Source organism: Homo sapiens, chromosome 13, assembly GCF_000001405.40.
Source record: "Homo sapiens chromosome 13, GRCh38.p14 Primary Assembly".
NCBI classification, from domain to species: Eukaryota; Metazoa; Chordata; class Mammalia; order Primates; family Hominidae; genus Homo; species Homo sapiens.
Window position 1 is genome coordinate 33,276,944 of NC_000013.11, and position 13,967 is coordinate 33,290,910.

Here is a 13,967-nt window from a genome sequence, read left to right on the forward strand (position 1 = left end):
TCTATTTCTATTGATTTTCTTTTGCTAACAGCATTAGCATTTTCTGTAATTTTGAAGTTATTTTCCAAGTTCTCCATTTAGATTATTTTAGATCCTAAGCTTCTGAAAAAAAAAAAAGAGAGAGAATTCATGTCTTTTCAAACAGTAGTATATAAATTTTCATGGTACTTGGTCCTTCCCTAGACTGCACCAGTCCAGAATGACCACCATGGTCTTGAGTGACTTCACAGTGTGGCGGCTTGGGCTAGGCAGTATGGTAATTCCCTATGCATTCTGTTGGAGTTTTTGGATGTTGTGTGATTTCTCTCCAGAAGCGTCATTCATAATGTGAATGCTAATGTGTATCTCTTTGCCAGCAGGAGGAAAAACATCTGAAGAATATATTTGTAGACTTCCTGGAAATTGATAAGTTGTCTCCATAACTAAAGCAAGCAGATTTTACTAATTAGAATTATCTACATAATTTTACTTCATTCACTTCTTTCTGTCATACTAGGAGAGCCTTTATATAACCAAAGATATTTTTGGACCATGAATTCAGAAATTCTCGGAGCCACCCATCAGTGCCTGAGCTTCAGTGAGTCCATATCCCATGTCACCCACGGCAAAGGAGACTCTAAGACTTCTGAAGAGTTTCTTGCTTCTTTCCTGTGGGGCAGTGACTCCACTTCCCAGCAGTAATGGAATATCCTGAATTAGCTACATTAATGTTAGAACCATTTGGACCTCACCCAGGACTTCAACTACATTATGGTAAGACAAAGCCAGAGCTAGAAGGCAATAATTTCTTCCTTCTGGCTCAACAGTACCTATCTTGTAGAGTTATTTGAGGAATGGTTGTATTCTTGATGTTATAATTATTAACTCTACCCATATACCGACTCAGCTTTCTGTTCTGCCTACCCAAGATAGAATCTTTGTGTGGTTGTTAATTTTCATAAAAAGATGGTCATCTGGCCTTTACTCAGTTGACTTTTAAAGTATTTGTGGCTGGCCTTTTTGGAAAACATAGAATACTTGCAATGTTCCTCTCCAAAACACAACTTCAAAGTATCTACTGCCAAATCTATGCAAGAAGTATATTCAGAGAGAATTATCTAAGGGAAGCGTAGGCCACATACTCTCCTAGATCAGCATTTCCAAAATGTGTTCCCCAGGGAAAGCTGGTTTTGCAATATGTGACTTCCCAGTATCCTGTGAAAAGTGGTTTCAAGATGAAATATACCAGTTTAAACACAGTTAAACTACTTTGTGCAAGATTTTCCTGAGCCTTTCATAAGTCTGAATTTCCAAGGGAAAGGGAATGTAGCATTTCCAAAAATGACTTAACCACAGAAATGTTTTCTCCCTTGAATATCTGTCTAATGGGCCTAGTGTTCTGTGAAGCAGACTTATAGAAATTGCCTGTGGATAATCTCCATGCTATTTCTAGGTTAAGACAGAGAATCTGAAGACTGCATACCTGACCTCTCGTTTTTACCTACCCACCCACCCACACCCAAATATTTCTACTGGACTATAATTTATTGTGACGCCCCCATTTCCACTGCAGGATGTTATAAGAAATGAGACTCACTACTGAATTCACAGCAGGCATGGTTGAAGGCACCATTCACTATAGCTTGCAGTGTTCCCTTTATGAGATTTGTATGAGAAATTCCTCTCATAGGTCAAGTTCTTGGGAGAAAATTCTCCCAAAGAGCAAGTCCCAGGAAAATCTTGGCTGGTAAGTTCTTACCTTAAGAACAGGGAAAATCTTCCCTTGGTTGTGTTTTCCTCTTTGCTTAGATCAGGGAAGCTCAAGCCAAATTTGCAGCCCATTTTTGATTATTATTCAAGGCCTTACATTTTATATTTCCATGTGATATATCTTCCTAGTTTTACCTCATTAATTGGCCAACATTTCTCTTTTCATCAGATTTATCTTTTTTGCAATCTTTAGTTATATATTCTTCTATAAATGACCTCAAATCCTCTAGGTAATGAGGTGGAATGTAAATTAATATATAGTATCTTTCCCCATACCAAAATCATATTTCAATTGCTCCAAGGGAGACGGCAAATATTTTTTATGTGGTCTTTAGATCATTCAAATATCTGGTGTGCAATGCATGTTCAGGTTCTCCTATCTTCTTAAGTCTTCTTGATTGCCTCACTACCCTGTTGTCATAGCTAATGAAACACAGAGAAAGTGTGTACTCTTGTTAATGACATGTCTCCACTAAATCTCCATCTATTTATGTCCCTTTATATAAGAGTTTTGCCAAAACCCACTTATCATTTGTTCTCTTTTTAAATCTGTTTTAGGTCATCAATTGATACTATTAAGACCACTAGCAGTGACTGTTTTTTCTAACTTGTGTTTCTGTGTTCATGATTAATTTGCTAATGAAATGAGGAATTTTGCATTGTAAGAGTTGACCATTGTCCAAAATTTGCTAAGAATTAAAGCACTGATGATTGGGGAAGGTGGGAGAGGGAAAGACATTTTAAAAAATGAATTTTTATTTACTTAAGCTAAAGTTACAGAACCCAAATTTGGCAACTGTCTGCATCTGAACAACAGAAGTTTCAACATTCTGCCAACAGAGTAACTCCTGGACGATTGGCACAGAAGAAGGCACAAGGCAAATACCCATCTCTGTACACCCTGTGCTACTGTGTCATGTGCTGCTCCAGGCAACTCCAATGGATTGGCCACCCTGGCCAATGTGTGAGTTATAAAGCAATGATGTGTAGCTATTGAACCTACAATTTGGTTAAAGTTAAACTCTCAAGTTTTATATGTTTACAAGCATATTGTCCTTTTGTTAATTTCCTCCCAGTACTCATTTCTTGACTTCTTTTAGTTTTACTATGTAGTAATTTTTAAAATGTTAGTCAAAGTTAGTTAATTTAATTCACTTAGCAGATTTTCCTGTAATTTTGGTTAAACAGTATCCTTTCTGTACAGGCCCTCCAAACACCAGCACTGAGTAGAAAGAGGCTCTGATTCATGAAATGTGAATTTATGACAGTTGCCACTCTTAAAAAAAAAAACAAACAGACAGAACTTGAGCAATACATGACTGATGCATTCTCAGCCTGCTTCCTGTGTTCCATCTGTCTTTCTGCCAGTGCATTCACCCTCCAGGTTTGAAAGTAGTCGGGCAAGAAAGTACTAAACATAGAGAAAGGGCAATTCCAAAAGAACAAATGATTGCTTAATTTAGGCTGACATTACCCAGTTGCTGGGGGTATGGGCCATGGGGATGGGCCATGTTCACCACTTAGGTTGGGCAAATTCCCAAGATGCCTTTTGACATAGTAATGAGGGGGAATACATCACTCATGCCCACTGGCATTCTCTGGGGAAATTTTTAAAAGGCAGTATATCCCACTCCAGTTGAGTTCAAATCAGGTGCCATATCTACTTAAAAATAGCCTCAGATAGAATGGCAACTCAAATGACAGTTTAACTTTCACTACTTTCTCGGTAGTGAAACTTTCTACATTCCACATTTTCTATCAAGAAAAGAAAGAGGTTGTATTGTGAGGTAAGAGGCACACACACGGACTTCCTTCAGTAGCTGCAATCCTTGCTATAGGTCAGGCATCAAGACAATTCCACTTTACAGGCCTGGATTTTGGAGAAAGAAAGGTGTTTACAAGTTTCTGTATAATTATAGTTATACTGACATTTAAATAGTTCAACAGACTGGACTTCCTAACATTCCTATTACATCGATATTAATGAAAGCATGACACAGGTTTCAAGGAAGCATGTCCAGGTATATGCTGAATGACATAATAAGAAAAATGTAAATATGCATTGCTTTTGTCTTAAGGTAATACTTGTGATTGCAGAATCCTAGAATGTAGAGATGATGGGGACTTCAGAGATTCTTTAATCCAAACCCTTTATTTAATGGAAGAAGGGAAAAAGGTCTAGAGAAGCTGTGACTTCTCTCAGATCACACAATAAATTAGTTGCTGAGGTAGAACAAAAACCTAACTTCCACTTTACCATTTCCTTGAGAAACTGTAGAACAATTGTAAGCCACTGATATATTCCACATAATAAAGCCGCTCTGTTGCCTTTTTAGGTTCTAGTATGTTACGTTTATGTTCCCCTGCTTTCTACAATCCTGTTCAAAGAGTTGCTGACTTAACCACAGAGAGGATTCCAGAACCTGAGACACAGAATAAACTTGAGCAATCATAGTCCATCCACTTCATTGTCTCATCAAAAACCAAAGGTCCAGTGAAGCTCTGGAACTCAACGCTGTAAAGGAGCGAAGGAGCTTCTATACAGAGCCTGGATGCCTGTCTCCTTATCCTACTTCAGTGGACTTGACTGCAATCCGGATTATGCTGTTTTCTAAGCATTTAAAATAAAATAAAAAGTATAATAGTGTGATAAGTTCTTTCACAAAGCAAGCAATCACATTTATGTTTCTACTTACATTTGGGTTTTCCAAATATGTGTGTGTGTGTGTGTGTGTGTGTGTGTGTGTGTATGTAGACTTTAAACATGGTGCATCCATCATGTTGCACTAAATCAAAACCACCAAATAATGATGTAGAACTAATAAATCAAAACCATCAAATAATGACATAGAAATCCAATTCTCCCACCTTACACCCATTAAGATGGCTACTAATAAAAAAACAGAAAGTGAAATGTAGTATAGATATACAATGGAATATTATCCAGCCTTAAAAAGGAAGGCAATCCTGCCATGTGCTATAACATGGATGAACCTCAAAGACATTGTACAAAGTGAAATAAGCCAGTCACACAAAGTGAATCACTGTATGATTTCACTTATATGAGGTACTTAAAGTAGTCAAATTCATAGAGACAGAAAGTTGAATGGTGGTTGCCAAAGGCCGAGAGGAGGAGGAATGAGGAATTCTTGTTTAATGGGTATGGAGTTTCAGTTTTGCAAGATGAAAAGAGTTCTGGAGATGGATGGCGGTGATGGTTGGATATTATGAATTATGAATGTATTAAGTACCACTGAACCATACATTTAAAAATGGTTAAGATGGCAAAATTAATGTATTGTGTATTTTACCACAATAAAAAAAATTAGAAAAAAATCCAATTCTCCCTTTCCTTGGCCTAACATGGTCTTCCACCACCCCCAGCATCCTCTCTCCTATCCACTCCCAAGCGCCAGTCAGTGAGGCAAATAAGGACCATTCTTATTTCCATTCTCTCTCTCTACAACAATTTCCCTATTGATTCAAGCAAGAATGTGGGGTAGGGATTATGGGCAGTATGACTTATGATAAACTTTCACTCTGCAAAACAACACCCTCTTTTAAACATCTCCTCTCTTTTGAAATGGAATTGCAACCCCAGAACTAAAAAACAGGCTAGAGAAATGATGCATGTATGTTTTGATGTGTACCCTAAGATGAGCAAGTTTAGATTCATCCTGGGTTTGGATAATGAATTCTGATTCTATGCATCATCAAAGATTCCTTTATTTCTCCTCCTTGTTTTTCCTCCCCATGAGTGTATCTGCTATTGAATCATGTGCACGCCATTCAATGATTATCTCACTATAATGAGGTCAGTGGGGAGCAACTTACTTGTTTCCACTGTTCCCAACAACCATGAGAAATTATAAGTAATGATGTCTTAAATCAAATTAACATAATTCTAAATCTTAAAGCTCTAAAGTAGAATAATGCAAACAATTTTAGTGATGTGGCTGTCACTTTAAGATACTAACCTGTAAACTACAGAAAATAATGCTGTCATTAATTTTATTTGCACATGATTAATGGAATGATTAAAAGCTGTTAGTGACAGGGCACAATGGCTCACATTTGTAATCCCCGCACTTTGTGAGGCTGAGGTAGGAAGATCACTTGAGCCCAGGAGTTTGAGACCAGCCTGCGCAATATAGTGAGACCCTGTCTCTATAAAAAAGTTTTAAAAATTAGCCAGGCATGGTGGCACACTCCTGTAAGTCTCAGCTACTGAGGAGGCTGAGGTGGAAGGATCGCTTGAGCCCAGGAGGTCAATGCTACAGTGAACTATGATCACACCACTGCACTCCAGCCTCGGCGACAGAGTAAGACTCTGTCTCAAAAACAAAAAGAAAACAAAGCTTTTAGTAAAATAACTTGACATCCTGTGTTATTGGGTAGTAACTGGTTAAAGAGAATAAAACATGTAGCACTTTGTTTCCACTAGAGAAATATAACCTGACAGGAAATTTCATAATGAGTGACCAATTCTGGTCCTATAATATAGTGTATTGCTGTATCCTGAGTAGAAAAGTCTAAAAAGTCTCTAGTATATTATATAATCTGAAACTCAATCATAGGTTCAGTACTTTAGCACTCATTATAAAAACTAAAAAATAGTCTAGTGTATTGCAGAGCATGGACTGTCAAGCTGTATTCAAGTATCAGTTCCTACTGGGTGACCTTGGATAAGATGCTTGAAATCTGTGTGCCTCTGTTTTCTCATCTGTAAAATGGGCATAATAAAAAAAATTAACTACAATGATTTTGGTATGCTGTAACTGTTTAATCCACATTCTCTGAAATTACAGTAAACCAATCTTCTAATACAATAAACTCAATAAAATTGTTTCACATTGCTTTCTCATTGTCTTACTAAAGAGTTGTATGATGTTAACACATAATGATTTCTGAATCACAAGACTGTTGGAAATCTTTATTGCTTCCCTGTGATCTTAACTGTCAGTTTTAAGTGTTAGGCATTCATTGACTTCAAACACTCCATTGCCCAGTATAAAAAAGAGGGAATTCTCAAATTACCTAATTAGACAAAAATGAAACATAAACTGAGGGTGCCCATATGTCTGTGTGACAGGGCACGTTCAGTGATAGTGCATGTGTTCACAACTTCAAATCTTGAATGGAAAAATAACCCTCATTCCAAAAAGAACATAAATAATATTTAAATAAAATAAATTATTGTAAATACATCTAAGGAGGTCTGCAAAGCAATTTCAGCTAGTTCTCTGCAATATTTCTCATATGATATGCATGCTGAGGAACATTTATATCTTGTAGATGATAGCGCATCATTAAGCCTCGGTGTTCATAAAGATGATGGCATTTGGAAAGGCACCATTGTCAGAAATTTCTAAAACCAAAGTGGAGCTGGTTTTTATTCTAAGCCTAAAGTATTTTTAAATCTAGCCACAGGGAAATAATTACTTTTGTTTCTATTCAATCAAGACCTGGACACAGAGTTTATGCAATGACATAATATCCTTCCTGAAATCAGACCAGCATGTAGGAAGGACCAGCATCCTTCACACATAACTAGTTCCTGAACCTTTACAAACAAATCCTAATTTCCAAGGAAACAATCTCATCAAATGCTGCCCGCTAGAATACATATTGTTCTTTCTGGAAACATTACAATAAGATTTTCATGATTACAAACCCCAACTTCCTCTTTAATATTCAATATAATCTTAAACTCATTTATTTAAGTGGAAACTGTATTTTTATAATGGCTCTAAAAATTCCTGGTTAACTTATTTAGCACCAATATAATAATTTCTTTTTTTGTTGTGTAGGAGGAGGGTGATCATTAACTGACTGTCAACGTGTGTTAGGGGCTTCTTAGGAACGGCTCTAAAAATTCCTGGTTAACTTATTTAGCACCAATATAATAATTTCTTTTTTGTAGTCTAGGAGGAGGGTGATCATTAACTGACTGTAAACGTGTGTGTTAGGGGCTTCTTAGGAATGTTCGTCTTTCTGCTTTCTACTGATATACCCTATAAGGAGCATGTTTTAAATTTTTTTTTTTTTTGAGACTGGTAAATTTTAGTAATGTCCAGACTTCCAGGCTGGTATTTTGAGGGGCTGGGAATAAAAAGAATATCAAGCAGCTTATAATCAATATTCTCTTCTCTTTGCATTAGGAAGCTGGAGTTTTGTGTGCAGGTTACGGGATTTGTTTTGAGATGAACGAACACCTTAATTCTCTACCAGGAAAACAATATTAACACATCTGTGGCAACTGCTGACATAAACATACAAACAGGAAGAGAATGCGATTCTAGTGCTTAGCCTGGTGGCCTTTAGAACAGAATTCTTGCTTTCCTCCTCTTCACTAAGGATATTCGAAATACTCTGGGCAGGGTGGACATTAGTCCCTCGCCTCCTCCCTAATGAAATAAACAAGTGTCCACATTTTAAATGTGACGGAGTGTGAGGAAACTGCAGAAAAGCTCCTAAGATACACACTGAGTAACAGTTCTCATCTGTTCTGTAGACACACGTCAGTTTGGGAATTTATGATTCACTGTCCCACCGTGAAGTTTTTTGTGCACTTTATGTTGAGCTATGTGGCAGCTAAGGACTGTCCTGTTTGCTGAAAACTGCAGCCTAAAGTTATTTTTCAAAGTTACGGGTAGTGTGGCATAGAAATCCATATGTTATAAAGTGGAAACAAACAAACAAAAAAAACTGGGTTAGCATGAAATAGAGCCAACAGAAATCAGAATGAGCAACAGCCTTCCACTGCCGGCCACTCACCTTGTTGAATTTTAGTCACTAGCTGATGGCGTGCTAGAATCCGGCTCATCCTGTAAGGAGAGCGTCTTGTAGTCTGATCAAATCGCAAGTACATCTCCTGGCCCTCAGGTGTCATGGAATTTAGGTAGTAGCAGCCTGAGGCTGGGGTCCTGGGCACCTGACTGAACATCTCGGCAGATTTCCTATTGCCACCTCAGTCTGCCTGTGGCTGTTGCCGTCTGTCTCCAGTCTCAGTCAAAGAGCAAGGCACCCAGCCCAGGACAGCTCAACAGACCCAGCGATTTTTAAAAAGAAAGAGGAGTGCCAAAGCCACAACTCAGAATTCCAACCCCCGGGGCCCTCACGTGACCTCGGGAACCAATGAGAGGAAGAGAGGAAAATGGGAACGTTTGCAGTCAGCCCTAAGCCCCGACCAGAGGCAGTTCCAGCCGCCAGGGTCCCTCACACAACGCTGAAAGCAAAATACACGTATTTGACGTGCCTCAGAGCTGACGAAGCACCCAAAAGCAGCCCTCACTAAAGGAGTCGAAAGAAAAAGAGAGAGGGAAGGGCAAAACAAGTAGAAGACAAACAAGTCCAGGGCTCAGGAAACTTTTCAGCCTGTCAAAGTTAGAGAAAGCTCCTTCGCTTTCTACAGGGCAGCAGCAGCCAGGTAAAAGATGGACCTGATAAATCTCTTAAATTTAAAAAACACAACACAACAAAAAAAAACTACTTCAAACAAGCATCAACAGCTGAGCGTAAGCCACCACCTTCATTATCAAGAAACAACTCAAATAAAAACTTTTCCAGTGAAAAATAAACTTCAAGGGCTTTAACACCAGGAGTGAATACACCACAGATCCTGACCCTCACGTGATGGGAATTGGAGGGCTCTTACAGATAAGACTCAGAGAGGCAAAGTACACACGCGTTACGTATTAAGCATCCTTTCCTCTTTGATTTCTCTACTTCCCCAATTTTTAATCACCTAGAGGTAAAATACTTAGAAGGTGCCTATCACATTTAAGACACTGAATCATTTAAGACAAGAATCACTGCAGAAGTTGCAAAGGTACTTCAAAGATACTGTCATCAACCTGCTAAGGACCCATTGAGAAGTTATACAAAAGCTTCTAACATGAGGCCATATATATGTCTCAAAAAGGACGCAAACACAATGCTAGGTGAGCAATATTATTTTTGACTGGGGTGATGATTGCAAGCCAGATAGAGAAAGAGACATTTGGATAGGCTTTTTAAAATGGGGGGAATTCTGATAGGCAGAGGCTGGGGAGGGCTTTGCAAGAGACTGTAGGTACCCATGTGTGCAGATCCAGAACCAGAGTATATGGTTTAAGCAAACTGCTAGTAATTCAGTTTGGCCATATCTGAGTGTGTGTGTATATATATACGTGTATATATATATGTGTGTATATATATGTGTATATATGTGTGTATATATATACATACACACACTGAGTGACATATATGTATATGTCATTATAATTTTCCCTGTTTTTCTTCTTTAACATTGTTTGATGTGAAGAGAAAAAGTCCACAGAAAACATGTTATCAAATTCTGAGCCTGGGGCTGAAAGAATAAAGTTCTTTGATACAAAAAGTATATGACCAAGTTGCTTCTACATTTGGCTGACGGAAACATAGCCTGGCTGGGAATTTATAGTCTAATAATGAGAAATTATTTCTACATTATTTCCAAATTAAAAGTTTAACAGGATTTAAATTAGGACTTTGATTCTTCTTACTCTGGCTCTCCGAGGCCCATAAGCCTTAACAACTTTCCCTGAGGGAATTGTTGCTAGCCTGATTCTGAGAAGCAGCTCGTCTTGTATAACTGTCCCGCTATGAGAATAAACAAGTTAAGCACGATCTCTGCAGCCCAGCATGTGACAATTGCCTACTACCTCACGTAGTTGGTAATTGTCAGCCTCTTCGGGTGGTTACACAAGAGTCATCATGTCTTTGTTTTCAGGTTGGCTTCATGGCAGGAAGGGAAAGAAAGATCTATGGGGCCATACTGTGCACTTTCCATTCTTATTTAGGATTTGAGCAGCAGTTTTTCTGTTCCATAGCATCGTCTGTGGAAGGTGAAAGGGATCTGAGACCTAAGGAACTGCTCGGCAGAAGCTCGAATGGAGAAAGGTCGAGCACCATATTGCAAAGTTGGCTGCCTGGAAGGTTCATGAGCCCAGCTCAGTCCGCACCGGTGGCCGTCCAATTAAGGTGCTTGCATCAGCTGCTTTGTGCACGTGCTTTCGGCTTGATGGTCCAACACTGGGAGCATCTGTGTCATAACTTTTTGTTCAAGGCAGACACTTGGTGGTTATCACTTTTTTACTGGAAGAGAATGGAAGGAGGGTGGAGAGAGAAAGAAGAGGGGAGCATGGGACTTGAGAACATTGAACATGTTCTGGGAAACCAAGTAAAGGTGAGGAAAAGGTAAAAAGGTAAAGGTGAGGAAAAAATACGTAGCTTTTTATAGCTTTGGAGAGCACTTAAAGATAGACCGGCCATTTCCAATGCCAACCTTGCAGTTCATTGCTGACTTGGCTGCATTCTATTATGAAAACAAGTGGAATGATTCTTCCTGAGAAGGATTGCAGTGTGTCAAGGCGAGGTTACTAGATAAAACAATAACAACGACAATAAAACTTACATTGTCTCCTTTTTGCATAGTCATGAATGTGTTGAAAGTGCTGGGGTGTCTGGTTCTGAAAACATTAAGATCATAAGTTTGTATTTATGACTACATATAATATTTCATTAAAATAATCTTAGCAATAAAGAGCAAGAATTGAATTTATTTATTTATTTTTAAGATGGTGCCTCACTCTGTCTCCCAGGCTGGATTGCAGTGGCGCAATCATAGTTCACTGTAGTCTCCAACTCCTGGGCTCAAGTGATTCTCTTGCCTCAGCCTCCCAAGTAGCTGAGACTCCAGGTGCACACCATCACACCTGGCCAATTAAAAAAAAAAAAGTTGTAGAGATGGGGGTCTCTCTTTGCTTCCTAAGCTGATGGCAAACTCCTGGCTTCCAGCATTTCTCCTGCCTCAGCTTCCCAAAGTGGTAGGATTACAGGCGTGACCAATCACACTTGGCCCTACATTTTTTTTTTTAAAAAAAGGGAATTTTTATTCCCTAATTAAAAAAAAAAAGCCAACTTAGAATGAAGCCTCATTTTTTCAAAAAATCAGCCAGCATTTTAATAAGGGGCTCTAGGAAGGATCACATATCAACATTTGGTTTTCTGTATGCATATACAGGGCCGCTAAAGTTTTATTTCATAGTTCAAGTAGTATCTATAAATTCATGTACCTGCTCACCATGTTTTTGTCATTTTGTATTTCCAAGGTACTATATTTAAAGCAAATATGTAACATTATTTTCTCATTAGCATGTCATTAGTACCTTGTTTTATGCTAAAGTATTGCCATTGCTATGAAACTTGTATTTTTTAAATAAATTCTTTTTTGTGATCATATAGTCCCCGTGTTAGAAGAATTACCACTGGGGTAGACAGGTCTGTTGTATTAGAATCAAGAAGTGGCTAGTTCTCTCTCTGGCTTTTCCTTTACAGGCAACTGAGAGAGCTGGTCCTCTTCTCCAGTGAGTGCATGAAGTCCTATGGAATCAAAGAGGGAGAGAGTGCCCAAATCACAAGCATCTTCCAGGACTGACACCATATCTCTTCCTCTCTAATTCCTTTAAAAATGAGGAAAACAGATGGCACTTGTGTTCAGTTTTCACCTACTTTTCTTCCCTCCTAATCTGCTCATCAATTGTGATCTTCAGTAAGACTATTTCAGGAGTGAGATAAACAGATGGTTACTGAGAACCAAAGACAGCAAAAGAGAAGGGAAAGGAAAGAGGAGAGAAGGGAACAGCATTGAGCACCTACTATGTGCCAGGTCTGAAGCCTTCATGGCTTCACATTTTAGGTTTTTTAACATTAATCTCCACAGCTATCACTGGAGGTATCTGATTGGATGGAAAGGAGGCTAAGATTCACAGAAGTCACAAAGCAAGCAAGTGCAGAGCCTTTGTGCATCTCCAAGCTGATGCTATTTTCACTCTTTTCACTATTACACAGGAGAGACAGGGAAGGAAAAACACGGCACCGAAAAGGCACTCCGGAAATTGGAAAGGGGAGAGCATTTTGGAAGAAGAGCCTGAAAATCATCCTAATCCTATTTAACTGCCTGCGATACTGGAATGCCTACATGGAAATATGGGTATGGGGCGGCTAAAATCCCGTGGTGATTGAGAGTTGGTGTCTTCAAGTAAGAAGTACAGATCCCAGAGCCCTTAGTCAATCAATAGAAGCCACAAGCCCTCTTAGGAGTAACCCATAGGTGAGGACTAGAGACTCTCCCCACCCCCCCAACCCTCAAATGAATAAGCAGCTCAGCTTGACCCTCTTTGCCAATCCTTTCCAGGGTAGTTTATTCTCTGCATTCTGTCCGTCCTCAAGGCTAATGCTGCGTATGCCTTGAGTTTCTCATAGCATTCACTGTCAATGCAAACACTCCAAATACAGTCAAAACTCTGAAATTTGACCTCTAAGCAAAACTTTTGGTATTTGGAATTTTCAAGTATTTTGATAGATGATCCCAGATTAGCGCTCAATGGAATCTTGTATACACAGGGCAGAACGCTAAGGAGTGCTTTTACAGAAGCCAGGAATGGCTCACTGTCTGCTGCCCTTTCTACTCCTTCACACACATTCCAGCCTCCTCATCAGTCTGTTCAGAGGGAGCCAAGGTAGTTCTGCCAACTGGGAAAATGTTTGAGATACAAGTGGCAGGCAGAAAAATGCAGAGCTGATTTGGAAGGCTGCTTTCGAAATTACATGAACCCAAAGATTGTGGGTTGATGTCAAAGCCTTCCTGTGGGCTCTGAAGGCCAGCATTTGAGGATTTTCACCGATTGATTTGTGATGTGTGTGCCCAACTCTGTGCCAATTAACTTTCCCAATCTGCATGCACCCCATGTCCCATGCCCAGTGCAGACAAGCTGGTGACACTAACACTGGCAGCTTTGACCAGGACTCCATGAAAGAGCTTGGTCCAGATCAGCTTTCCTAGCTCCAGACCACAGCTCTCATCTGGAGTCCAGATCCTGCCGCAAACACTTGTAAGTGGTAATAGATTTCCTTTACTTTGTCTCTCAGCCCTCCCTACTGTCTGGTGCATTCCCATCTATGGGCCTCCAGGAGCATGTGCTCTCCCGTATGCCATTCCCTGGGGATGCAACCATCAGCTCCAGCCCATATGACAGTAACCTGGTCTGTCCTGTCCTGGGACCATTACTACACCCACGCACTCCAGCCAAACCAGAATTCTTTCATTTTCTCAGTTGTTTCACAGATCTAGAATTGTGTGATTCCCTTCTCTTCCACCCATGAGACTCAGTTAAAACCTATTGCCTCCAGAAACA

The 13,967-nt window shown here is 39.4% G+C and overlaps 1 protein-coding gene and 1 long non-coding RNA gene across 8 annotated transcripts in view, besides 2 other annotated features; one reads left to right on the plus strand and one right to left on the minus strand.

Moving 5' to 3' along the window:
* The window catches only part of STARD13 (StAR related lipid transfer domain containing 13), a 573,658-nt gene that overhangs the window by 173,807 nt on the left and 385,884 nt on the right, over window positions 1-13,967 (minus strand). Inside the window, exon 1 of one of the 7 annotated variants that reach the window (NM_178006.4) lies at window positions 8,527-8,812. The exons of the other annotated variants lie outside the window; for them this stretch is intronic. Within the exon in view, the coding sequence (NP_821074.1) occupies window positions 8,527-8,695 (169 nt within the window). The 5' untranslated portion in view covers window positions 8,696-8,812. Of the gene's footprint in view, window positions 1-8,526; window positions 8,813-13,967 lie in introns of those variants that run through there. 7 annotated transcript variants of the gene reach the window in all.
* STARD13-AS (STARD13 antisense RNA) lies at window positions 611-4,391 on the plus strand. Its single transcript, NR_046693.1, has 3 exons — window positions 611-753; window positions 2,518-2,713; window positions 4,086-4,391. It is a non-coding gene; the product is annotated as an STARD13 antisense RNA (long non-coding RNA).
* Window positions 8,915-8,974: an enhancer, noted in NCBI's record as "active region_7577". NCBI's record gives its function as "activates an Ori minimal core promoter by ATAC-STARR-seq in GM12878 lymphoblastoid cells {active_cell/tissue: GM12878}" and the evidence as "EXISTENCE:reporter gene assay evidence [ECO:0000049][PMID:35858748]".
* Window positions 8,985-9,114: an enhancer, noted in NCBI's record as "active region_7578". NCBI's record gives its function as "activates an Ori minimal core promoter by ATAC-STARR-seq in GM12878 lymphoblastoid cells {active_cell/tissue: GM12878}" and the evidence as "EXISTENCE:reporter gene assay evidence [ECO:0000049][PMID:35858748]".